This window comes from Homo sapiens, chromosome 17 (genome assembly GCF_000001405.40).
Source record: "Homo sapiens chromosome 17, GRCh38.p14 Primary Assembly".
In the NCBI taxonomy this organism is placed as follows: domain Eukaryota; kingdom Metazoa; phylum Chordata; class Mammalia; order Primates; family Hominidae; genus Homo; species Homo sapiens.
This window is the reverse complement of record NC_000017.11, coordinates 66,186,738-66,211,993: the sequence shown is the minus strand read 5'-3', so window position 1 is coordinate 66,211,993 and position 25,256 is coordinate 66,186,738. Positions and strand designations below refer to the sequence as shown.

Genomic DNA, 25,256 nt, shown 5'->3' with positions numbered 1-25,256 from the left:
TATGTCATTTGGTTAAGAAATGCAAATATTTGGAACGTCATCATTCTATGGCTGTGAAGTTGGCAGTATAAACAATTGTCTGGGTGTCCCACTTTTCCTGTGCGTAACCCTGATCTCGGCTGGGTGCGGTGGCTCACGCCTGTAATCCCAGCACTTTGGGAGGCAGAAGCAGGTGGATCACCTGAGGTCAGGAGTTCGAGAGCAGCCTGGGCAACATGGTGAAACCCTGTCTGTACTAAAAATACAAAAATTAGCTGGGCATGGTGATGTGGGCCTGTAATCCCAGCTACTCGGGAGACTGAGGTAAGAAAATTGCTTGAATCTGGGAGGTGGAGGTTGCAGTGAGCTGAGATGGTGCCACTGCATTCCAGCCTGGGCGATAGAGTGAGACTGCATCTCAATAAATAAATAAATAAACAAACAAACAAACAAACAAACAAATCCTACTTTCAAGCACTTTCACGTAAAACACCTGCAATACAATATTTTTCATAGAATGGGCCACAGACCCCCTCCTTCCGTTACTATTACCTATCTGCTTATTTCAAAGAACAAGTGTTGTGCCCCAGAATTGTTAAGAATGGCCCAGAGTTCTGCATTTATGACAAAGTTTCCAGATAGTTCTTGCGCATCCTCAAGTTTGAGAAGCATTGCCATACAGAAGTAAGCATGGACTTCCAGGTCAATAGGACTGAATTTGCATCCTTGATGCTGGGTTTACATAGTGCCAAAAAATTTTTTCTGTATCCACTACAATTCCATGACCCATCATTGACGTCGTTCCTTTGCATATATTCAACTCCCTTGCTCTTCTCTCCTTTGGTAGTGTTTGCTGGCCAAACTCATCCCTGGCACCATCTGCCTTCCTTATGCCTGCACCTAAGGAACTGAACGTGGCTGGAAAAAAAGAGAAACTCACAACCATGCCAATAGGTCCCATTTTAAATTCATAAACACAAACTTTACATGGGCCTCCAGCTCTGCCCGACAATCCTATTATATTTCTCTAGTTTGTTCACTCCCTTACTCTCTAAAGTGGCTATTTCACTTCTCAACCTTTCTCAAGCCACCTTCCTTCTCCTCACCCTTAGCTGATAACTTGGCTCCTTATTTCACTGAGAAAATGGAAAAGATCAAAAGATCATTTTTTTTTAATCTTTCCACTCCCGAATCCATCATTCTACCAGCATCGGCAACCACAGAATCTGCCTTCTGTCAGGTTACAATGGATGAACATCTAAGGACAAACCCTCTCTTTATGTGCTAGGTCCCATTTTCTCTCTCCTACTTAAGGATTTTACTCCTCTAATTAATGCTTATCCATGTTTATTTTTTCCTTTCTATTGGAACACTTCAATCAGCATACAGATATACAGTAATATCACCCATTAAAAAAAGAAGCCCTGTTACTTCACATCTTTCTTCCAGCTACTGCTCCAACTCTTTAGTCCCTGTTTTTACAAAAGTCCTGGAGTTACTTCCTCTGCCATCTGCACTAGGTACTACCCATCACTTCTCCACAATCTGCATTCTCCATAGGATTTCCCCACCCATGCCTCTTTCTCAGAACTTAACCCGATTCCGTGTGATGTGGACCAGATCTTTTCTCCAAGATGCTTCTCTGCTCCTCCTCCTTTTACAGAAACCAGAGTGGCTCCCCTCCCTTCTAGGCTTTCATTCAAAAGCTCCAAATTCCCTTTACTTAACCTTAAAAAACAATTTTATGGGCAGGTGTGGTGGCTCACACCTGTAATCCCAGCACTTTTGGAGGCCAAGGCAAGTGGATCATCTGAGGTCAGGAGGTCGAGACCAGCCTGGCCAACATGGTGAAACCCCGTCTCTAGAAAAATACAAAAAATTAGCTGGGCATGGTGGCAGGTGCCTGTAGCCCCAGCTACTTGGGTGGCTGAGGCAGGAGAATCGCTTGAACCTGGCAGGTGGAGGTTGCAGTGAGTCGAGATGGCGCCATTGCACTTTAGCCTGGGCGACAAGAGCGAAACTCTGTCTCAAAACAAACAAACAAACAAATAACAACAACAACAAAATTTTACTTTTTCTTCCTCAATTCTTTCCTTCAGACTCTGTGTATGTGTGTGTGTGTGCGTGTGTGTGTGTGTGTGTTGTGTGTGTGTGTGTGTGTGTGTGTGTGTGTTGAAGGTGGAGTTTGAGAGGTTGTGGTATTTCCCCTTTGTAAACCAAAAGCCCTATTTAGGGATTTTTGCCAAACAAAAAACCATCTGCTCTGGTTTCCTCCTCTCAAAGCACAAAGCTTTAGAACCATTGTTTTCTTTAATTTGTTGCATGTCAGTTTAAAAATAGACCTCTCTTATCCTACCTAACAGCTCTAGACATGGAAGGAGGGCAGTAAGCATTTAGAATGTCTTCTCTTGCCCACACATAGTCACTGCATTGGCTCTGAAAAAGGGGAGAGAATATTTTTGTATTATCCCACCTTTTGTTGCAAATGCTTCATAATTCATTTTATTGTTTTTAAATTTAAAATATATGTTGGAACTAATAAACAAATTCAGTAAATTTCCAGGATATGAAATTAACATACAAAAATCATAGCATTTCTATACACTAATAGCAAACCGTCTGAAAAACAAATTAAGAAAACTCCCATTCACATAGCTACAAAAATATATAAATATACTTAGGAAGAAATTTAGCCAAGGAGGCGAAAGACTTGTATGCTGAAAAATATAAAATATTGATGAAAGGAATTTAAAAAGACACAAATAAATGGAATAATATTAATGTTCATAGATTGGAAGAATTAATATTGTTAAAATGTCCATGTTACCCAAAGTGATCTACAGATTTAGTGCAATCCCTATCAAAATTCCAATGACATTTTTCACAGAAATAGAAAAAACAATTTGTATGAAACTACAAAGGCCCCTGAAGAGCCAAAGCGATCTTGAATGAAAAGAACAAAGCTACAGTCATCACATTATCTAACTTCAAAATATACTACAAAGCTATAGTAATCAAATCAGCTGGTAAAAATACAGACACATAGACCAATGTAAGAGAATAGGCAGTTCAAAAATAAACTCACACATTATAGTCAATTGATTTTCTACAGAATGTCAGGGGTTGGCCAGGGCTGCAGTCTTATCTGAAGGGTCAAGTGGAGGAGGATTCACTTCCAAGCTCACTCAGTGGTTGTTGGCATGATTCAATTCCCTTTGGGCTATTGGAAGAGAGCCTCAATTTTTTACTGTTTACCTGTGACTTCCCTCAATTCATTGCCCTTCAGTCCTTAAAGGAAAATTGGATGGCACAGTACAGTACCCATGACAATACACTCTTTTTTTTTTTTGCTTGATCCACTGCTTTGTATGCTTTCTGAGAATAGCTCCTCCAGGATTCTGATAGACCTCTTTTCTTGGGTGAAACTCAGTAGAGTAAGGTTAGTGAGATAAACTACAACACCTGATGCTGCAGTTGGCCTTCGAACTGCAACTGATACTCATCTTCTTCCTCCACCACCATCCATTTCGTATTCTCCTCATCCTTGGCTGGCTCTTCTGTTGGTCTCAGTGGCTCTTCTGGTGGTGTGACAAAGACCTTCATCCTTGAGGGGTCTGAAAGGCCTCTATGCCTTTCTGATGTTTCTATGATTTTTATAATCAAAATTGTATCAAGGAGTACTGAGGAGGCAGCAGCCCTATTTGCTCCTGATGATCAGAGTCAATGACCCTTTCTAAGATGGTGAGATCTTTGCTTGCTGGTTCCTTGGCAAAAGGAGCCCAAAGTTGCCAGGCACCATCTGTAGTTTATAGTTCAATAGGACTTGCTGTGCCCCTAGTGGAAGTGTTTCCCTTTTGGAAACAAGGCCTTTTAAACTATTTATAGATTTCAGATGTGGAACAAAAGCATAAGTGTCCCCAAGTGAGTCAAGGGGAGAGATAATAACTTGGCCACTGCTGCTTCAAATCCTTGATTCCCAGACCCATGTATTGTTCCTACTGGGGAGACAATGAAGATGTTTGATTTAAAGTATATACTTCATCATAGAGGATCATATCTCAAAGCTGGTGCTTTGATTATGCTTTCAACAGGCCATTTCAAGGTTCTATCAGCTGGCAGCTTCTGGATGGTTTGGTAGGTAATGTGATCAGTTGGTCCTGTGGTCAGGGGCCTATTGTCATACCTCCTTTACTATAAAATGGGTTATCTGGTCTGATACAATGTTATGTGGGATCCTGTATCAGTGGATTCGAACTCCGTAAGTCCTCAGATAGTGATGCAGGAAAAACAAATGCATATCCAAATAAGTATTGATTCCCAGCATAATGGATCTGTACTCCTTCAGTAGAAGTAGGTCCAATGCAGTCAACTTGATACCTTATGTGCCAGTGGATCTGCTTGTGAGATAGTGTCATCTTGGAGGCTCAACATTGGCCTCTGGTCTCTGTTGCTTGCCAGGTTGGACATTCAACCAAGGCAGCATCCAGATCAATCTATATAAGTAGGAGACCATGCTGTTGGGCCTATGAATTATCTCCATCCTTGTTACCATAGCCATTTCAGTCATGTGGCCATTATGCCAGCACTGGGGTGGCCAGTGTTAGAGGCCAGATGCTGTCAACTGGCTGAGTCTTTTTCTCTATCTGGTTATGTAGTACCTTGCTAGTGGGAGTTAACATGTGCATCAAAGATCTTCACACTTTGTGCCCACCCCATTTATTCATTCACATGCCTCTACTCCTAGTCCTCTTTGTACCTGATCTACCCATCTTTCTTCTCACCTCTCAGACTCTGTCAAGCCACTACCTATGAGTTCATATATATTCTAATCATAAGCCACTTCTTTTTCCACACAAGGAAGATGACCATCCAAAATTCTTCCCATGGGGAGGACTTTTTCTCACCACTGTTTTTCAAGATGCTCTTTGAATAAGCTGTATTGTAGCTGTCATCCTTTTTTTTACCTACACACATGTACAGACCTTCATATCCATGAACCAAGCTCAGGCTTTTTCCTCCGCTCTAAGCTGGTCCTACGGGATCATATGGGGTCATATGGCTATAGATGTGCACTTAGGAATGCCATTAGTACAACAGTGATGGATGATGTGGAGTTTTGACCTTCTGATCACGTAGCTTCAGGGTATATCCATTATCATCTTATCATGAGTTGTTGCTAGGCACACTTGACCTCATGACTTGGTGGGTATGACAGAATATAGCTGGTGATGGGCAGCTGTAACTGCCTGGTCACTTGGTGCCAAGCATCTAGTATATTAGAAATTGTTTCTCAAGTGGCATCTAATTCTCCACTGTAGATGAGATGGCCCTGCTTTTTAGTCTTCTTAGATCTAGAAGAGTTCTTCCATTTTTCTTCCTCCTTTCTTACAATCTATATATATTTGAGATGGAGTCTTGCTCTGTTGTCCTGGCTGGAGTACAGTGGTGTGATCTCACTCACTGCAACTTCTCCTGCCTCAGCTTCCCAAGTAGCTGGGATTACAGGTGCCCACCACCATGCCTATTTAATTTTTTTTTTTTTTTTTAGTTGAGACAGGGTTTCACCATGTTGGCCAGGCTAGTCTTGAACTCATGACCTCAAGAGATTTGCCCACCTTGGCCTCTCAAAGTGCTGGGATGACAGGGGTGAGACACTGTGCCCCCTCACAATCTTAATATTTTTAAAGAGTAGAGGACAATCATTTGGGTTTGTCTGAAGTTATGTTATGACGCGATTTCAGTTGTATTGTTGCCGGGATTACAAGAGAAGTGAGATTGTAATCTTCTTAGTGCATCATATCAGGAAGTACATGATATCAATTTATGCCATTACTATTGGTAATGTTAACTATGATTACTTGGCTAGAAATCTGATGTCTGCCAGATTTCTACATTGTAATCTTACTATATTGTCCTTTGTAATTAATTAATCAGTATCTCATGGGGAGATACTTCACAACTATGTGGATATCCTGTTTTTCATCAAATTTTCATCCAGTAATTTTAGATTTTTACCTAAATCAATTGTTTTTGTGATGGTTGCCAACAAGTAATTTTTAAATTTATCACTCCTTCTACATTTATTATTTCTCATTCTGCTGTAAGGGAGTACTTTCCCATTTCCCCAAATTAATTAGTTAATTAATATTAGTGTGAACACATGGATCCTTATTCAGTGAGTTATGATTCACTAATATAATTAATTATTTTGATGCTTGAGTTGTCACAGAATTGATCAGTGGGAGCCACTTCAAGTGGCTCATGTGTCTTTTTGATATGTCTCCATATCCTTTGGGTACTTCCTAATTTTATTTAAAAAACAAATTTTTTTTTTTGAGACAGCGTTTCTCTCTTGTTGCCCAGGCTAGAGTGCAATGGTGCGATCTTGGCTCACCACAACCTCCGCCTCCCGGGTTCAAGCAATTCTCCTGCCTCAGCCTCCCGAGTAGCTGGGATTATAGGCATGCGCCACCACACCCAGTGAATTTTGTATTTTCAGTAGAGATGGGGTTTCTCCATGTTGGTCAGGCTGGTCTTGAACTCCCGACCTCAGGTGATCCGCCCGCCTCGGCCTTCCAAAGTGCTGATATTACAGGTGTGAGCCACCGTGCCCGGCCCAGGACTCTGAATTCCTTCTTTGTACTTTTCTGAATTTTGTATTATCCTTTTGTATTCCTTCTTTGTATTATCCTGACTTTTGAGGAAGCTCAAAACAGCTATTTTGAATTCTCTGTAGGAAAGGTCACATATCTCTCTCTTTAGGATAGGTCACTGTTGCCTTATTTAGTTCATTTGGTGAGGTCATGTTTTCCAGCATGGTTTTGATGCTTATGGATATTAATTGTTGTCTGGGCATTAAAGAGTTAGGTATTTATTGCAGTCTTTGCAGTCTGGGCTTGTTTGTTGGGAAGGCTTTCCAAGTATTCAAAGGCAATCGAGTGTTGTGATCTAAGTCTTTGGTCACTGCAACAATATGTGCACTAGGAGAACCCTAAGCCCAGCAATGATGACTCTTGCAGAGCTCTTAAGGTATCACTTTGGTGGTCTTAAGTAAGATCCAAGAGAATTCCCTGGATTACCAGGCAAAGACTCTTGCTCTCTTCTCTTATTTTCACCCAGACAGAGTCTCTTTCTCCATGCTGAACTGCTTGGAGCTGGGTGACACAAGCAGCCTTGTGGCCTCAACAACTGGGACTGTACTAGGTCAGACCTGAAGCCAGCACGGCACTGGGTCTTGCCTGGCTACCGTCTGTTGTTCACTCAAGGCCTAAAGGCTCTTTAGTCAACAGGTGGCGAATCCAGCCAGGCTTGTGTCCCTCCCTTCAGGGTGGTGAGCTCTCCCTAAGCCCAGGGCAGGTCCAGAAATGCTGTCTGGGCAGGGCCTGGACTTGGGAACGTTAGGAATCTACCTGGTGCTCTTTCCACTGCGCCTGAGCTGGCACCTAAACCGCAAGATGAAGTCCTTCCTACTCTTCCATCTTCTTCCCTCAAGGAGAAGGAGTCTCTCCCCCTAGTCACCACAATCCCAGGCCTGCAGTGATCACTGCCTGGCTACCAGTGATGTTCACTCAAGGCCCAAGAGCTCTTCAGTCAGCTTGTGGTGAAGGCTGCCAGGCTTCAGTCTCTTCCTTCATGCACTGGGCACTGTGCTCCCCTCTGGCTCAGAGCAAGTCCAGAAATGCCACTCAGGGGCCAAGGCCTGGAATCAGGGACCCCAGGATCCTGCTTTGTGCTCTATCCCACTATGGCCGACTTGGTACCCAAGCTGCAAGACAAAGCCCCTTTACTCTTTCCTCTCCTTTCCTCAAGTAGAAGGAGTCTCTCCCTGTGACCACCACAGCTGGAAATGTGCTGGGTCACACCTGAAGTCGGCATGGCGCGGGATCTCACTCAAGTCTTGTGGTGAGTACTGCCTGGCAACTGGTGGTGTTAATTCAAGTCCGAGGACTCTTGGATCATCCGGTAATGAATCCTGCCTGAACCGGTACTTCTCTTTAAGACAGTGGCTAGAGTGTGTCAAGAAACGTTGTCCAGCAGACAGGGCCTGGAACGGGGGCCTCAGGATTCAGCCTGGTGCCCTATTCTACTGTGACTGAGCTGGAATGCAAGTTGCAAGACAAAGTTCTCTTTACCCTCCTCTCTCCTCTCCCCAGGCAGAAGGAAGTAGTCTCTCCTGGAGCTGCAAGCTGTGCTGCCTGAGGTCGTGGGAGGGGTAACACAAGCACACCCTTGGCCACCCCAGCTGGTGTCTCACAGGTTGTGTGCACAAAAAGACCACTGGCTCCAGCTCAGCACAGCACTAGGACTTGCCTAGGAATTTCAGTCCTTGTGGCCTAGACCACCTTTCAAGTTTATTTAGGACCCCAGAGCACTTTACCCCATGGTAGTGGGGCTAGTTGGAACTCAAGTTCTGTCTGGCTGCTGGGATGGATGATTCTTTTCCAGCTAGGGCTGGTCTAAATGCTCCCTCGTGGTTACTAGGTGAATTCTGCCCTGTGTGGCTTTCTGCTGTGACAGACAGCACTGAATTCCAATGCAAAGTCCAACAAACAGTTCACACTCCCTCCCCCAAGCACACAGATTCTCCCTCTGCACCACATGGCCACTGATGGGGAAGAGCGAGGGGTGGTGTCGACAACTCGAGATTGTCTTTCCCAGCCTCTTCAATGCCCCTTTCCTTGATATAATTTTAAAGCCAGGTACAGGGATTTTTGGTTATGACGGTGCTTTTTTGCATGGATGGTTGTTCTATTTGGTGTTCCTGTGAGGGGGATGATCACTGGAGGTCTCTATGTGGCCATCTTGCTCCACCACTTCTTTTTTTTTTTTTTTTTTTTGAGGCGGAGTCTCACTCTGTAGCCAGGCTGGAGTGCAGTGGCACGATCTCGGTTCACTGCAGCCTCTGCCTCCTGGCTTCAAGCAATTCTCCTGCCTCAGCCTCCCCAGTAGCTGGGACAACAGGTGTGCACCACCATGCTTTTGGTTAAAACACAATACTCCAAGCTTGTCATAATTTGTAAACCTCAGCTTTCTAAACCTCAGCCATTTCCCCAATGAACTGAAGATAACGGTGTTTAGAAATGAAGGTCTGGGCCGGGCGTGGTGGCTCACGCTTGTAATCCTAGCACTTTGGGAGGCTGAGGTGGGTAGATCACGAGGTCAGAAGATCGAGACCATCTTAGCTAACACGATGAAACCCCGTCTCTACTAAAAATACAAAAAATTAGCCGGGCATGGTGGCGGGCGCGGTGGCGGGCGCCTGTAGTCCCAGCTACTCTGGAGGCCGAGGCAGAAGAATGATGTGAACCGGGAGGCGGAGCTTGCAGTGAGCCGAGATTTCACCACTGCACTCCAACCTGGGTGACAGAGTGAGACTCCGTCTTAAAAAAAAAAAAAGAAATCAAGGTCTGCATTGTGTCTGGGTGTAGTGCTCATTGATACAGAGGCATCACTGCTTCTAGGTCTTCTTCAACAGACAGAGCTAGGAAATACATACACATATTTATGTACACATGCACTACTCATATACACAATAATTAGGTCTGCATTTTGATAGCACCAGATAGTCAGCATGCCTAACTTTGACACCTCAGCACTTCTGTTTTAAACCCTTAGCACTTTTCCAACACTCCTCCCTTCCCCAGCCTATTCTACAAAGAAGCTCCTGGGATATGGCAAGTTTGTTGAAGGTTGTGTTTTGTGCCATTTTGTTCACTGGAAGGCATTTTAGGGGGCTGGATAGGTTTGGATCACTGAAAAATAATCAGAGCAGACTTTAGAGCTTAGACGATAGTCCTGATTCCTCTCATTTAATCGTATTTTCACAGAAATAAAAATCTGCTATTTTTGTAATTGGAAGAGGCAATTTGGATTTGAGGAGTCCATCGGTAGAAACTGCCCAATTGCAGCCCCTCTATTTAGTGATTATGTGGTCTATTTTGTGCCATAAGTAGATTCCCTTTTTCAAGTGTTTTTCTTCTTAAATGCTTTGATCACCAGGTTGCCTGTCATCACAGTTGTGCCGTACCCTCCCTAGCCATAGTTTGCGGTGATCTCCCCCTACTGGAGATGGTACAGGAAGTACTAACCGCCACAGGTAGCCTAGTGAAGAAAGAACCACAACCATAAGGAGCTGGTTATCATCCTCCTTTTTTTTTTTTTTTTTTGAGATGGAGTCTCGCTCTGTCTCCCAGGCTGGAATGCAGTGGCGCAATCTCGGCTCACTGCAAGCTCCGCCTCCCGGGTTCACGCCATTCTCCTGCCTCAGCCTCCCGAGTAGCTGGGACTACAGGTGCCCGCCACCACGCCCAGCTAATTTTTTGTATTTTTAGTAGAGACGGGGTTTCACCGTGTTAGCCAGGATGGTCTTGATCTCCTGACCTCACGATCCGCCCGCCTCGGCCTCCCAAAGTGCTGAGATTACAGGCGTGAGCCACTGCGCCCCGCCCATCCTCTATTTTTGCACAGTTGAACTGAATCTTCCCAAAGTAATATTACTCACCTAGCAATCATAGACTAAATGAACTCTATACTATATAACTGTAACTCTACAAATGCATATAACTATATAACTATACACTCTATAAATGCACATGGCTAGGGAGGTCTTCTTCCAAGACAAGTTGGTCCCTGAAGGTGCTTCTCAATGACCGTCTTTTTTCTCTTGGTTTATGGCAGGACGGCGTTCTAAATGCAAAGGAATCAATGTTTTCACGTATCTCTTATGCTATATTTCTGCAAGAAGTTTATAACATAATTCTCTCGTTTCTAATACATGGACCAATCTTTCAATATATAGGATCTCTTTCCTGTGCCCCAAACTTAATAATAAGTACTATTCCTCAGTGACATTTCCTATCTATTAACCTGAGGATCATTCCCTGCTTTAATCTCTCAATAAAAGATTAAAAAGATAAAAGAAAGAAAGAAAAGGAAAGAAAACAACTTGAGCTGTGTGCATGTGTGTGCCAGTATGCCTGTGTGTGGGTGTGTATGTGGTTGCTGTGCAAATATTTGTTGCTTTTGTGTGAGTGTGAGTATATATGTGGTATGTGTGGCATGCATGTGGATTTGTGTATGTGGTTTGAGTGTGTGTGCTTTGTGTATGTGCCCATGCGTATGCATGTGAGTGTGTGTGTGTGTGTGTGTGTGTGTCTGCGCATGCACGTGCACATGATAATTAGTTCTTTGTGTGCCATTGCTGCCTCCTAGTGGCATCTATTCCTTTCCAAAGTGCTGGCAAAACAGTTGGGAAAGAAAAGAAGCCCTCATATTGAAGTTTCCTGTGTCAGGCACTGGGTACATTTTTCTACATATCTCACCTCTGTTAATTCAATCTCCCCAATCATCCCATAAGGAAAATAAATAAACTGAAGCTCAGGAAGATTATGTAACTTAGTTTACCGAGGTCACAAAGCTAATAAATGACAGAACCAGATATCTAAACTTCAGAATGATTTCTTTCGTACCATTTTTATACTGCTAGTTAAGCTATGATTTTTCCCAGTAGCTTCCTGGAAATATTTGCATTCTAAAGTTGGAGTTTTACAGCCTACTCCTGAAACAAGTTGGTAGAAAAGATTGTTGTATATTCAAGGCTTGGAAGTATCCTAGGTTGCTAGTTTTTATGGATACTGGCTAGGGCATTATGGCAATATGTATATCACTGAAGGGAAGGGAGAAAGAGTAGCCAGTTTATCTCTGTTAATATCCTATAGCATGAATTGCCCAAGAGGCTAAGATAGAAAAAGCAGCAGAAGGAGGAATGAAATGGTGAATATTGCTTAGTTCTAGCATAAGGAAGAAATCCAAAGTCACTGTGCTAAAGGCAGTGACTCTTTTCTTAGTAGTGAAAAAAAGAAAATATGCCTCCTCATTCTTAGTTTCTGCAATCTTTATACTGTATTTATTTATTTATTCTATTAAAAAAATAGAGACAGGGTCTCGCTATGTTGCTTAGGCTGGTCTGAAACTCCTGGGCTCAAGTAATCTGCCTTCCTCGGCCTCCCACAGTGTTAGGATTACAGGCGTGAGCCGCTGTGCCTGGCCTATAATGCATTCATTTGTGGTATAATCTATACTTCTGTGGTCTGTAAATAGAAAGTTCTGCATTACTTACCATTCAGTTTAAGGAATTTACCAGGTACAGGATTGTTTTCATATTTGTCTCTAATGTGTTTATATAATAATTACAATTCTTGGTATTTACAAATTGTTTTCCATCTAGATAGCTAAAAGTCATTTACATTTTTCACTCTAATGATGGAGTATCTTAATAATGCAAAATGGTGAATCACGGAAATTTGATTGCTTTGAATGTTAGCTTATGCATATTGCTAATTTTGAAACAATAAATTAAAAATATGGAAGATACTTATATCTGTCTAATATATCCATATAACTATATATAAAGTTCCACAAAAATAGATAAAGGACAAAAGAGATACTTTGCAGAAGAATAAAAGACTAATAGAGATATTTAAATATTTCAACTTCTCTAATAGTGAAAAATGCAAAGTAAAAAGGGATGCTTTTTTTTTTTACACACAATTAGCACAGATCTAAAAAACCATTAATGTGAGACAGTCATTCGCACAGACCATTGAGTGAAGTTGCAATTTGAAAAATACTTCCAGTAAGTGATTTGGCAGTACTGATCAAAAGCCTTAATGCTTTTATAATGCCCATAAGAATATCTTTTATGGAGAGAGCTAAAATTTCAACCAAGATGTATATAATCAAAGGCATTCATTGCAACATTATTTATAAGGGCAAGAATTGGTAAACACAGGAGAGTAATTGAGAAAATTATCATATCCATATGATGACATAATAAGTAGATATTAAAAATGATAATATAGATATAAAAATTTGAGTAAATATATACAAATGTTAATAGTAGTTATTACTTAATGGCAGGATTGCACATAAGTCTTTTCTTCTTTAAACTTTCCAGTATTTTTCAATTTCCTTATAAGGGAAATGAAACTTTGAAACCATGAAAACTTTTTACTTTTAATTTTTAATTTTATTTATTTATCTTTTTGAGACGGAGTTTCGCTCTTGTTGCCCAGGCTGGAGTGCAATGGTGTGATCTTGGCTCACTTCAAACTATGCCTCCCAGGTTCAAGCGATTCTCTGGCCTCAGCCTCCTGGGTAGCTGGATTACAGGCATGTGCCACCATGCCCAGCGAATTTTGTATTTTTAGTGGAGACGGGGTTTCTCCATGTTGGTCAGGCTGGTCTCGAGCTCCCGACCTTGGGTGATCCACTCGCCCTGGCCTCCTAAAATGTTGGGATTACAGGCATAAAAAAGCTATTTAATACACGTTTTACTTTTTCTGCTCTTTCTTTACATCACTCTTTTCCTTATCTTTATCTTTCCCCTTGTCAGCTTTTCTATCTTTTTGCTCTCTTTTTTCTCCTGCCCTTCTTTCTTGTCTCCATCCTGGTTGGCAATCTTGTTGTTGATGAGGTTGTGCAGGGCGACCACAGAATGGATCAGTGAGGCCCACAGAATGGATCAGTGAGGCCAAGTACACTACCACCATCTGGTCATTGGTCCTCAGGTAAAAGGCTTTAATAGGCTCCTGCAGGCTAACATCTGGCAGCAGGTTGAAGACGTCCTGCAGCTCGTAGATGATCTGGTGGTTGATGCGCAGCTTGCCTGTGGCTACTTTTTCCAGGTAGCTCCTGATATCCAGAAGCTTGGAGTTCGGTCCCTTCAAACCATGGACCCGGTTTGTGATCCGCTGGGACAGAGTGCCCACCGTTGTGTTGTGTCTTTGATGTCTCGTAACAAGTGTTCAACTCCAACTTCCTCAGCTTACTCTGCTCCAATTTCACTGGTCACATGTTCAAATGTTTTCAAGGTTGGAGTTCCATCATCTTGGATTTCTTCCACTGAAATGTATGCTTCTGTGGGCAGCCCTAGGTCCTTTGGATTCACGTCAATAATGATCAATACCGAGTTAGGATAGTATCTTTTCATGAGTTCATTGATGGTAATGCCATTCTTGTGTATTTTCAGGCCTGTGTGGTACCAGCCAACTATTCTTTCTCTGGCATTGACTTTCTTAAACATTCCATACATGTTTTCCAAATAATCATGGTCTAAAAACCACATAGAATTGTCTTTGTCATCTTCATCAAAAGGAACTGCAAAACTGTTCAATACATCAAGTACTTTCTTTTGCCATGACCCCCAAAACAGACCAATGACGCATTTCTGGATTCCAACCTTGCCGATTCGGTTGAAATGATCCACCACGCTGAGCAGCACCGGGGATGGCCCACCACCTTCTGTACTACCAGCTCTGGCATCGAGACACACCTCGCCCAGGCCTGGCTCCCTGCTACCTGCAAACACCGGCAGCGGTAGTGATTTCCCTGGGGCTCCATCAGGCCCAGGCTCTTCTTCCCTCAGCAAAACAAAAAACCCAAATAACAGTGGCTTAAACAAACAACGGTAATCTCTAGGTCTCCCACTATAGTTACTTTAATTTTATGGAGCAAGAGTTTAAATTATACAGATTGGCCGGGTGCGGTAGCTCATGCCTGTAATCCCAGCACTTTGGGAGGCCAAGGCGGGTGGATCACCTGAGGTCGGGAGTTCGAGACCAGCCCGACCAACATGGAGAAACCCTGTCTCTACTAAAAATACAAAAAATTAGTCGGGTGTGGTGGCACATGCCTGTAATTCCAGCTACTGGGGAGGCTGAGGTAGGAGAATCGCTTGAAGCTGGGAGGCGGAGTTTGCAGTAAGCACGCCATTGCACTCCAGCCTGGGCAACAAGAGCAAAACTCTGTCTCAAAAAAAAAAAAAAAAAAATATATATATATATATATATACACACATACATATCTATACAGATCATCAGATTTAATCCTTCAAGATACAGATTAGTTCAAATTACAGACGAATAATTATCTTTCTAATTAATAAAAGCTCACATTTTCCTATTGATTTTTTCTGTAGAGAATAATTGAATTCACATTGTTCAATGTCATCTAGACTAATTCTTAAGTTTATATTTTGAAAATAAGCAGATCCCTTTCAACATGGGAAGTATAGCACAGTTATCTTCCCACACAGAAAATAAAAACAATTATTTTTAGGGTCCTCTTTGTACTACCATTATCAACAATGTCACCATTTGATTTTTAAAAATTGAGATAAGATGTCATTTGTTTTTGAAACAAACCTACTTTCATTTAAGTCATTTGTAGCTGTTAGGAAACAATATTTTCAATAGAAATAGTGTTTCAATGTCACTCTCTTTTTATCAAAGATAAAACAAGGTTCTGTATATATTTTCCTATGCTGACTTTATAAGCACAGCACGGTGTTTTCTTTATTTCCTCTCTATCCCAAAACGTGATTTATATCTTTTTTTTTTTTTTTTGAGACAGAGTCTCACTCTGTCACCCAGGCTGCAGTGCGGTGGTGCGATCTTGGCTCACTGCAATGTCTGCCTCCTGGGTTCAAGCAATTCTCCTGCCTCAGCTTCCTGAGTAGCTGGGATTACAGGTGCCCACCACCAAGCCTGGCTAATTTTTGTATTTTTAGTAGAGATGGGGGTTTCACCATGTTGGTCAGTCTGGTCTCGAACTCCTGAGCTTGTGATCCGCCCACCTCGGCCTCCCAAAGTGCTGGGATTATAGGCGTGAGCCATCGCGCCCAGCTGCATTATTTATATACCTTTTAAGCCAGGTGACATAATCTGAGTTGAAATGTGGTTATTTGGTATTTGTCTTATTACCTCCTACTATCTCATAAATTTTTGGAGGGTAGAGACTTATCTTTTTTCTCATAAGTCCAGAATCTTTGTTGTAGTTAGAACCATTTGGGTTTACCCATCAGTTCAGTCCTCTGAGAAAATAACCCCAAACCCTCTCCCCAAAGTGCAAAGATGAGCTAAGAAAGTCATGTTTATACAATAGGATGCCCTATCTCCTGGCCATATCTCATTGGACTAATTGTGCTTACCTGATTCAAATTAGATCACTCAGTTTCACTCTCCGTAGCAAGAGATTTATATTCAGAAAAGTTAGTCTTCCGGGTTTCTAGACTGGAAGCTTTATGCATAGGGTGGTCATATTCTACCACATGTGCAGAGAAAAGCACGAAAATTAATGTTCATTCATTTGGTGATTCAGTGAACATTTATGGATTGTTTCTATATGGTAGGTACCCTGCAAGGTGCTGTCTGTGCAATGGTGAACCTAACAGGTATCGTCTTCATTCTTTTGGAAACTATAGGCATTTTTAAAAGATTACACCTGGGTTGGGTGCAGTGGCTCACACCTGTAATCCCAACACTTTAGGAGGCAGAGGTGGGTGGATCACTTGAGGTCAGGAGTTCAAGATCAGCCTGGCCAACATGGTGAAACCCCATCTCTACCAAAAATATAAAAAATTAGCTGGGTGTGGTGGCACGCGCCTGTAATCCCAGCTACTCTGAAGGCTGAAGCAGTAGAATTGTTTGAACCCGGGAGGTGGAAGTTGCAGTGAGCTGAGATCACACCACTGCACTCCAGTCTGGACGACAGAGCGAGACTCCGTCTCAAATAAATAAATAAATAAATAAATAGATTCCACTAATTAATATTTGATGACAAATTTTGATAAATGCAATGAAGAAAAGAGAACCAGGGGATTTGAAAGGAAATAAGGGCTGGTTTGAGAATCAGTGAAGGCCTCTCTGAGGTACTGATATTTAAGCTAAGGTGAAGAGCAAAGTGTCATAGCATTTCCAGTGGAGGAAACATTCCCTTAATATGCCTGCATATACCTGATGTTCAATAAATGTACATTGAGTTGGAAGATTATTATCTTTATGCAGTAACTAGACGTAGAAGGAAAATTCATTGATTACCATAGGTGTTTGGCCATAAAACATTTATAAGACACTGCATTTTTTAGGCCACATAAGCCTGGAGCTACACTACAACAGTGACAAGAGAATATATATATATATATATATATATTTTTTTTTTTGAGACAGAGTCTCGCTATGTCGCCCAGGCTGGAGTGCAGTGGCACGATCTTGACTCACTGCAAGCTCTGCCTCCCGGGTTCATGCCATTCTCCTGCCTCAGCCTCCCAAGTAGCTGGGACTACAGGCGCCCACCACCACGCCTGCTAATTTTCTTTTTTGTATTTTTAGTAGAGATGGGGTTTCACCGTGTTAGCCAGGCGGGTCTCGATCTCCTGACCTCGTGATCCGCCTGCCTCGGCCTCCCAAAGTGCTGGGATTACAGGCGTGAGCCACCACGCCTGGCCGACAAGAGAATATTTACCTGGCTTCATCCTTGAGGTTCCTGAATAGGCTCTGAGTTCAGCAATTTCTTCCCAAATATTTGTAGAGGTCCCCAGGGTGAGTCACATGGGTGCTCTGTGTATGATGGAACTACCCTATCATAGTGCTCTGTCTCTGACTGAGCTACTTGGGAGGCTGAGGTGGGAGGATTGCTTGAGCTCAGGAGTTGGAGGCTGTAGTGAGCTATGATCATGCCACTGCACTCCAGCCTAGGTGACAGAGCCAGGCTCTGCCTCTAAAAAAAGAAAAAAGAAAATTCTCAAAGGAAGTTCTTTACACTGTAAGATTAGGAATCACTCTCTTATACAAAGAGGAAGATGCTACATGAAGGGCAACTCACGGCCAACACTTTGCTTCATGCATCATCACTTTCCCCTTCAATTTTGCATATTGCCATTGAACCAGATCTCTTTAGGATGACTTACTTTTTCTTTTTTTTTTCGAGATAGAGTCTCACTCTGTTACCCAGGCTAGAGTGCAGTGGCGTGATCTTGGCTCACTGCAACCTCCACCTCCTGGGTTCAAGCGGTTCTCCTGCCTCAGCCTCCTGAGTAGCTGGGATCACAGGCGTCTGCCACCACACCTGCTAATTTTTGTATTTTTAGTAGAGACGGGGTTTCACCATATTGGCCAGGCTGGTCTTGAACTCCTGACCTCATGATCCACCTGCCTCAGCCTCCCGAAGTGCTGGGATTACAGGCATGAGCCACCATGCTCAGCCAGGATGACTTAATTTCTAGGAGGTTCCTTGGTTCTCAGGTAAGGAGTTTCCAAGTGAAACTTGCCTACCAGTCGTCTAAACATGACATGTAGGCTTGAGTTCTAAGGTGAACACAGCTCAGGCTCAAGCTGGTATCCCTTTCATGTTATATACATATAACATAAATAATAAAACTCTCTATGCATATCTTAATATTTTTATTTGCATGTGTGTGTATATATGAATGAAAAATATATAAATGAAAATGATATATATAAATGAAAAAAATGACAATCAGCTTGTTCTTAAAAGCGGGAAGGGAGATCTACTCATCTTATTTTCACCTAAGTAGAGGAAATATTTAAAGACATTTTTCATTTTCAGTTATATTTTTCTGCTATAGTTATTTCCTCTGAGATGAGCTTGAGCTTGTTACATTTTTTCTTTGATTTATCTTCTATTTATTTATCTTCTATTTTTCTTTTCATGTTTATTTAGACACCATTTGTCAAATTCATTTCATATTCTTTCAGCAATGCAGTTTATGATTCTAAAAATTGCATATATTTATTATGCACAACATTGTGAAATGACTAAGTCAAGCTAATTAACATAAGCGTTGCTTCACATACTTATTAATTTTGTGATGAGAACACTTAAGATGTACTCTTTTAGCAATTTTCAAGAACACAATACATTATCATTTACTATGGTCACCACGTTGTAAAATAGATCGCTTAGACTTATTCCTCCAATCTAACTTAAATTTTGTTTCCTTTGACCAATGTCCTCCTCCTCCTGAGGCTGGAGTAGGGTAGTTTATCTTTTTTTTTTTTTTTGAGTCTCGCTCTGTCGCCCAGGCTAGAGTGCAGTAGCGCAATCTCGGCTCACTGCAACCTTTGCTTCCCGGGTTCAAGCAATTCTCCTGCCTCAGCCTCCCGAGTAACTGGGATTACAGCCGTGTGCCACCACGCCTGGCTAATTTTTTGTATTTTTAGGAGAGACAGGGTTTCACCGTGTTAGCCCGGATGGTCTCGATCTCCTGACCTCCTGATCCGCCCACCTTGGCCTCCCAAAGTACTGGGATTACAGACGTGAGCCACCCCGCCCGGCCAGTTTATCTATCTTGAATGTATTAACTGACTGGTTAAATTCCTGCAATTGCATGCTTGATTTTGCATCCTTGATTCTCAGTACTAATTATCTGGATTATATATCATTCCCTAGTTATAAACATGTTCAAGTATGCTTTTGAAAACTAAACATTCTTAAAAGCATTCTGTACCCTTTATTTTCCTTAGCATGATTTGTCTTTGAGACAAGGAAGAGCTAGCTGTTGGTGTTTACTTCCAGTGAGATAGGTTTTAAAAAGAACCTTTTGAAGAATTTGACTTGGGTTTTGATATATCAGAGAGTGAGGAAATTTTCACTTGAGACCCATTCAACTCTGATGTCTGTCCACATAACGGATCACCCCTTTTGTGAACATCCTCCAGCCGCCCCATTTTCTGTGCCCTTATTTTTTCGCCACGGCCCCTAAGGTGATCATAAGCGACTCTGCGCGGGATGCGGGAGGGCAGCAGCATTCAAACTGTGGTCGGGTTATCCCGGAAGCTTCGACTGGGGACCCGCCAAGGGGCCCACAAGCTGGGGTGCGAGTCTGGCGGTTGCTGGGCCAGCAGGAGCGTCGCCATGGCAACGGGGCCGCGCGCACGCCGCCACCTGTGGGTGGAGAAATGCCCGCGCGGAAGTCTCCGCCCCCAGCCTGGGGCGCCGGTGGTCGCCGCCGCCGGGAACGTCGCCATGGCAACCGCACCGCAGGCTAGAGGGGTGGAGTAGGGGGCGGGGAAATGCGAGCGCGAAAGTCCCCGCCCCCGGGCTGCTGGGCGGCGGCGACCCAGCGGCCCGCAAGGATTTGAAACCGTTTGGCAGGGGCGGCGGTGGCGGCGGCGTTGGCGGCAGCGGCCGAGCGGAAAGCTTGCGTGTGGTGGTGCCAGGTTCTCGTTTTTTTCTGAATTTCCTTCCCCCGCCCCTCCCACCAGGTTCTTGAGTGGAATTTTGCGCCGGTGGCTGCCGCCCCGCCCTTGCGGGCCCGTTCGGGAAGGGGCGTCGCCCTCAGGCCCTGGGCCCGTTCTCCGGGCCTGGGGGGCGCGCGCCCCTGGGGTCCCGGCGCTGCCCGCTGTGGTGTCCCCGGCAGGCAGAGCGCGATCCAGGCCGGGACGACTTGGGAAAGTTCTAAGTAAAGTTTGATCAGCCGGTTTGATCGGTCTGACGTGGTCCAAGAGTCTGACCCAAGGGTTTGCGACTGGGAGAGGAAATCTGTGTCCTGGACAAGGTAGGAGCGCGGCCTGGGCCTGGGCCTCGGCGGGCCGAGGAAGGGACTGCCAGGAACGGCACCGCTGGAGTTTTCAATTCCGTCCCAGAAAAGAGTCTCAGAACAATCAGCTGGATTTGCGGGGACAGAACCAGGGCGCTGGTTGGTTTGCAGAAAGTCATAGGCCGCTTGGAGAGGCCCAAGCCCAGCACCGCCGCATGTAGGATGCTACCCTGTGTTTCTGAGTTAATTATTTTTAAGTGTTCAAGAGAACGACATAAGTAAATGTGAACAGCTTTTCTGATCATTGCACGGCTACTTTTATTTGTTTTTAATATTTTAAGATGAGTCAAAATAAGATAGAAAAGGCACATTAAATTCCATGAGCCTCTCCACAGTGGTCAGGCTGCAGCTTAGTGGAATGCATGGTATTAATAATTTGTGCAGTGTTCAGGCCCAGCTGTCACTGTCCACTAAGAACCTAGGTCAGTGACTTCACCTCACTTAAGCCTCAGCTTCCTTCTTCCTCTGTGAAATGACCATGGAAATGGTGCGGAAATGGTAGGGCCGGGCCAGAGAATAAACTGAGATTTGTTTCTAAAGCACACACTGAGCTACGGGTAGAGTCAGGGAAGGCTCTTGTCAAAACATCCACACGTGTAAGCCAGAGAAAACGTGCACCTCTAATCCTTTTTAATTTGTCGACGTTTCCAGTTTTCTTTAATGACCCACAATATATTTAAAATATGATTTGATTGAACAAAATGGGTTTTACACAACTTCCAAGAACGTTTGTTTTGTTTGGCAAGGAGTGTGATATGAATGAAGTGTATTCTTTGCTTGGCAGTTGTGACTCCTTTTTTTCCCAGACCTTTTAATACTTGTGGTTTGGTTATGTTTGCTGACTGTAGGGTAGGTAAGCCCATTTTGTAGCTGTCCAAAAAGAAGTTTAAAAAAAGGCAGCATGGGTGAGTTTAATAAAAGACATGATCCAAATATAGATTGTAGCTATAAGCAAGAGTCACCCAATTTACTTCTTTTTTACCTTTGGAATTATTTATTTTTTTGAGACAGTCTTGCTCTGTGGCCCAGGCTGGAGTGCAGTGGTGCAAACTCAGCTCACGCTCACTGCAACGTCCGTCACCTGGGTTACCTTTGAAATAATTTATATAACTGATAGGCACACTATAATTACTCTAAGCCTAAGCCAAAGATGTTGCTTTACTTATTTTTCAATTCCAGTAATTTAAATTTTCAATTCTGATAAATGGTATGAAACTTTTGATAAGTTGGAACTTAGATACAATTTGTGAATATGATGTAATTTGTTTTTAAATTATTTATTTTTCATTTTCAATTTTTTTTTTTTTGAGACGGAGCTTTGCTCTTGTCACCCAGGCTGGAGTGCAGTGGCATGATTTCAGCTCACTGCAACCTCTGCCTCCCAGGTTCAAGCGATTCTCCTGCCTCAGCTTCCTGAGTAGCTGGGATTACAGGTGCCTGCCACCATGCCCGGCTAATTTTTGTGTTTTTAATTGGCCAGGCTTGTCTCGAACTCCTGACCTCAGGTGACCCTCCCGCCTCGGCCTCCCAAAGTGCTGGGATTACAGGTGTGAGCCACTGCACCCGTTCCATTTTCAGGTTTTTTGAGACAGGGTCTCACTTTATTGCTCAGGCTGGAGTGCAGTGGTGTGATCTTGGCTCATTGCAGCCTTGACCTCTTGGGCTCAAGTGATCCTCCCACCTCAGTCTCCCGAGTAGCTGGGACTACAGATGCATGCTACCATGCTTGGCTAATTTTTGTATTTTTTTGTAGAGACAGGGTCTCACTATGTTGCCCAGGCTGGTCTTGAACTCCTGGGATCAAATGATCCACTCACCTTGGCCTCCCGAAGTGTTTGGATTACAGATGTGAGCCACCACACCTGGCCAATAAGATGTAATTTGTATAGCAATAATTCCTTGAAGGTTTGAAATGTTAGTTTTTTTGTTTCTTTTTCCATTTCTTTATTTTTTTGGAGAAAAATTAAGGGATAAGAAGAAGCAGATTTTTAGTTTTTACCAAATGTTACTTTGATTCTTTAGTTTTTTTTTTAAATGTATACTTCAATATTGCATGTCAATATAGCAATTCCAATTGCCTTTCTACTTTTCAAAATACTTTTTTTTTTTTTTTTGAGACAGAGTTTTGCTGTGTCACACAGGTTGAGTGCAGTGGCACCATCTCAGCTCACTGCAAACTCCGCCTCCCGGGTTCAAGCGATTCTCCTGCTTCAGCCTCCCTAGTAGCTGGGAATACAGGTGTGTGCCACTTTGCCCAGCTAATTTTTTTGGTATTTTTAGTAGAGACGGGGTTTCACCATGTTGGCCAGGCTGGTCTTGAACTCCTGACCTCAAGTTATCCGCCTGCCTCAGCTTCCCAACGTGCTGGGATTACAGGTGTGAGCCAACGCGCCTGGCCTTCAAAATACTTTTTAATTAGTTGGAGATATTGCTCACTTATATGTAAATGGCCAATATAATAAATCTGAGGGCTAGAGGTTTCAGAATTTTAATCTGAGCTTTGTGCTTGATTTCATGATTTTGAGTTAGTCATTTAATGGTTGAATTTTAGTTTCCTCTAATGTTAAACACTAACATTTCCTGCCCATGTCAAAGGATTTATTGAGAATTAGTGATTAGGAGGAATCTTTTTTATTTTGCTTTAGCTATAGATGTTCTCAGGCAAATGTTTGAGTACGTGGGCAGTATATAGTCTTTAAGCCCCGGAGTACATCTAGGCCAGAGCTGTGCTTTAAAACTCTGGGTTTATGATTTTCCATTGGTTTGTTCATCTATTTGAATTGTTGCTTTTCAACATTATGATCTCACATCCAGCACTGGTATCATAGCCTTCTGTTACCACGTGCATAACTGATGGAATATATTGTATACATGTAAAACAAAACCAACCAAACAAAAAATGATGAGTACCAGGTAATAAGCTAGGTACTTACTAAGATGTGTAAATCATGGTCCCTGCCTTCTAGGAGCTTCTCACAGATAATGGAAGATGTATGCATAATAATACACAGATGTGTAAAAAAAAAAAAAAACAGCATGATAAATGCTGTACACAGATGTGAACAGTTTACACTGAGAACAGAGCAACAGCCAGTCTAGGGCAAGGGGGGGCCAGCTTCACTCAGGTGACATTTGAGCTGCATTTACCTGACTCCAGGTGGAGGGAATAGCCTATGAAAAGGGGGTGGGATTAGATAAGGGCTCGGGGGTGGGGGGGGGTTTGACCATGGTGAGGAGTTCATTGTGGCAAGAGGGAAGTGGGCATTTGTGGGTTGGTGTAGTTAGGCAAAGTGTGTGTGTGTGTGTGTGTGTGTGTGTGTGTGTGTGTGTTTGTGTGTGTGGTGTGAGAGACAGGCCTAAATGCAAAGGTACTTGTATGCCTAACTTTGGGTTTGGATAGTATTCTGTTTTAGGCAGTCACGAGAGATTTTTAAACAGGAAGCTATAGGCTTAGCTTTGTCATTAGGAAACTCATTCTGGAGCAGGTGAGGAAAATGGACTCAAGTAGAGAAAACTGACAGTAGGGAGACAGATGATGAGGCTGCCGCAGTAGTTCAAATAAGTGGTAGGCAGGCCTCTATCTGAGATCGTGGCAGTGAGAATAGGGAAGCAGGCAGATTTTGAGATATTTCTCAGCATTTATTGATGTATTGGTTTATGGGGGTTCAGAGGATGGGAACATTGAAACTTCTAGCTTGGGAGATGAAGTAGATGATGATGTCATCAAGCAGAGTACATCATAGATTTATGGAGAAAAACATCAAGGATTGTTTTCTTGGACATATAAATCTAGATAATAAACAGGACATTAGTGAATAGGTCCAGGAGCTATTGTAAATGAGTCTGGAGTTGCAAAGAGAGGCTGGAGTTTGAAATAAAATTTAAGGGTGAATGGCATGAAACGAATACTTGAAGCGATGGTACTGAATACAATCACTATGCGAGTGTGAAAAGTCAGATCAAAAGGAGACTAAGGAAAGAGCACTGGAGAGTCCATATTGACTGGAGAAGCCAGAGCCATTGAGAGACCGAGAAGGAATGATCTGAGGCAGTAGGGGAGCCAGCAGTGAATGGAACCACTGAAGTCAAAGAAGAGTTTCTTAGGAGCAGGGAGTTGTCAGAAGTGGAAGATGCTGTGGAGATGTCAAATAGGATGCAAACTGAAGACAGCCCTTTGGATTTGGCAATTAGTGGATCACTGGTGAACTTTGAAAGATTTTTGCTACCATGATGGAGATAGAAGAGGTAATATACAGGGGGTGAGATCTGGATAGAAGTTGATGAAGTGGAGAAAGTAAGTGGATTTGGCGAATGGAATGCTAGAATGAGGGGAGATTTTTAAACAGGAAGTGATAGACTTAGCTTTGTCATTAGGAAACTCATTCTGGAACAGGTGAGGAAAATGGACTCAAGTAGAGAAAACTGACAGTAGGGAGACAGATGATGAGGCTGCCACAGTAGTTCAAGTTAAGTGGTGGGCAGGCCTCTATCTGAGATCGTGGCAGTGAGAATAGAGAAGCAGGCAGATTTTGAGATATTTCTCAGCTGCCATCAGAGGGGAAGGAGTGAGTGGAGATGGAAAATTTTACATAGCAAATAGGCAATTGATAGAGGACAGGTAGAGGGAGAGTTACTGCGTCTGATACAGGAGCAGAGGTGGAAGAGTGTTTTCTCTGAGAGGTAAGTTGAGAGGTGGGAGGAATAACATCTTGGGGTGGTACCACCTGACTATTATTTTTTCCCTGAAGCAAGATTTATGATTTTTAAATTGAGAGTTAGGAGAAGCTGGAGTTATTCAAGGGGCTGTAGGATATTTGGGAAAAGTTTTAAAGTTGCTTTGTGGAGTAGGAAATAGCAAGACTCCTGAGGGTTCAGGTAA

The 25,256-nt window shown here is 43.0% G+C and overlaps 1 protein-coding gene and 1 pseudogene across 16 annotated transcripts in view, besides 1 other annotated feature; one reads left to right on the top strand and one right to left on the bottom strand.

Annotated features, from left to right (window-relative positions):
• Positions 1,987-2,552: an enhancer, noted in NCBI's record as "OCT4-NANOG hESC enhancer chr17:64205560-64206125 (GRCh37/hg19 assembly coordinates)". NCBI's record gives its function as "activates a minimal SCP1, AML or CMV promoter by ChIP-STARR-seq in naive H9 embryonic stem cells {active_cell/tissue: H9 hESC(naive)}" and the evidence as "EXISTENCE:reporter gene assay evidence [ECO:0000049][PMID:30033119]".
• On the bottom strand, positions 13,287-14,399 carry PSMD7P1 (proteasome 26S subunit, non-ATPase 7 pseudogene 1; annotated as a pseudogene).
• The window catches only part of CEP112 (centrosomal protein 112), a 556,597-nt gene continuing 551,201 nt past the window's right edge, over positions 19,861-25,256 (top strand). For 11 of the 16 annotated variants that reach the window (XR_007065281.1, XR_007065280.1, XR_007065282.1 and 8 more), the window contains exon 1: positions 19,861-19,997. The gene's annotated coding sequence lies outside the window, so the exon portion shown is untranslated. Of the gene's footprint in view, positions 19,998-20,101; positions 20,336-25,256 lie in introns of those variants that run through there. The other 5 variants (NM_001302891.3, XM_047435530.1, NM_001353127.2 and 2 more) reach the window with 1 other exon arrangement.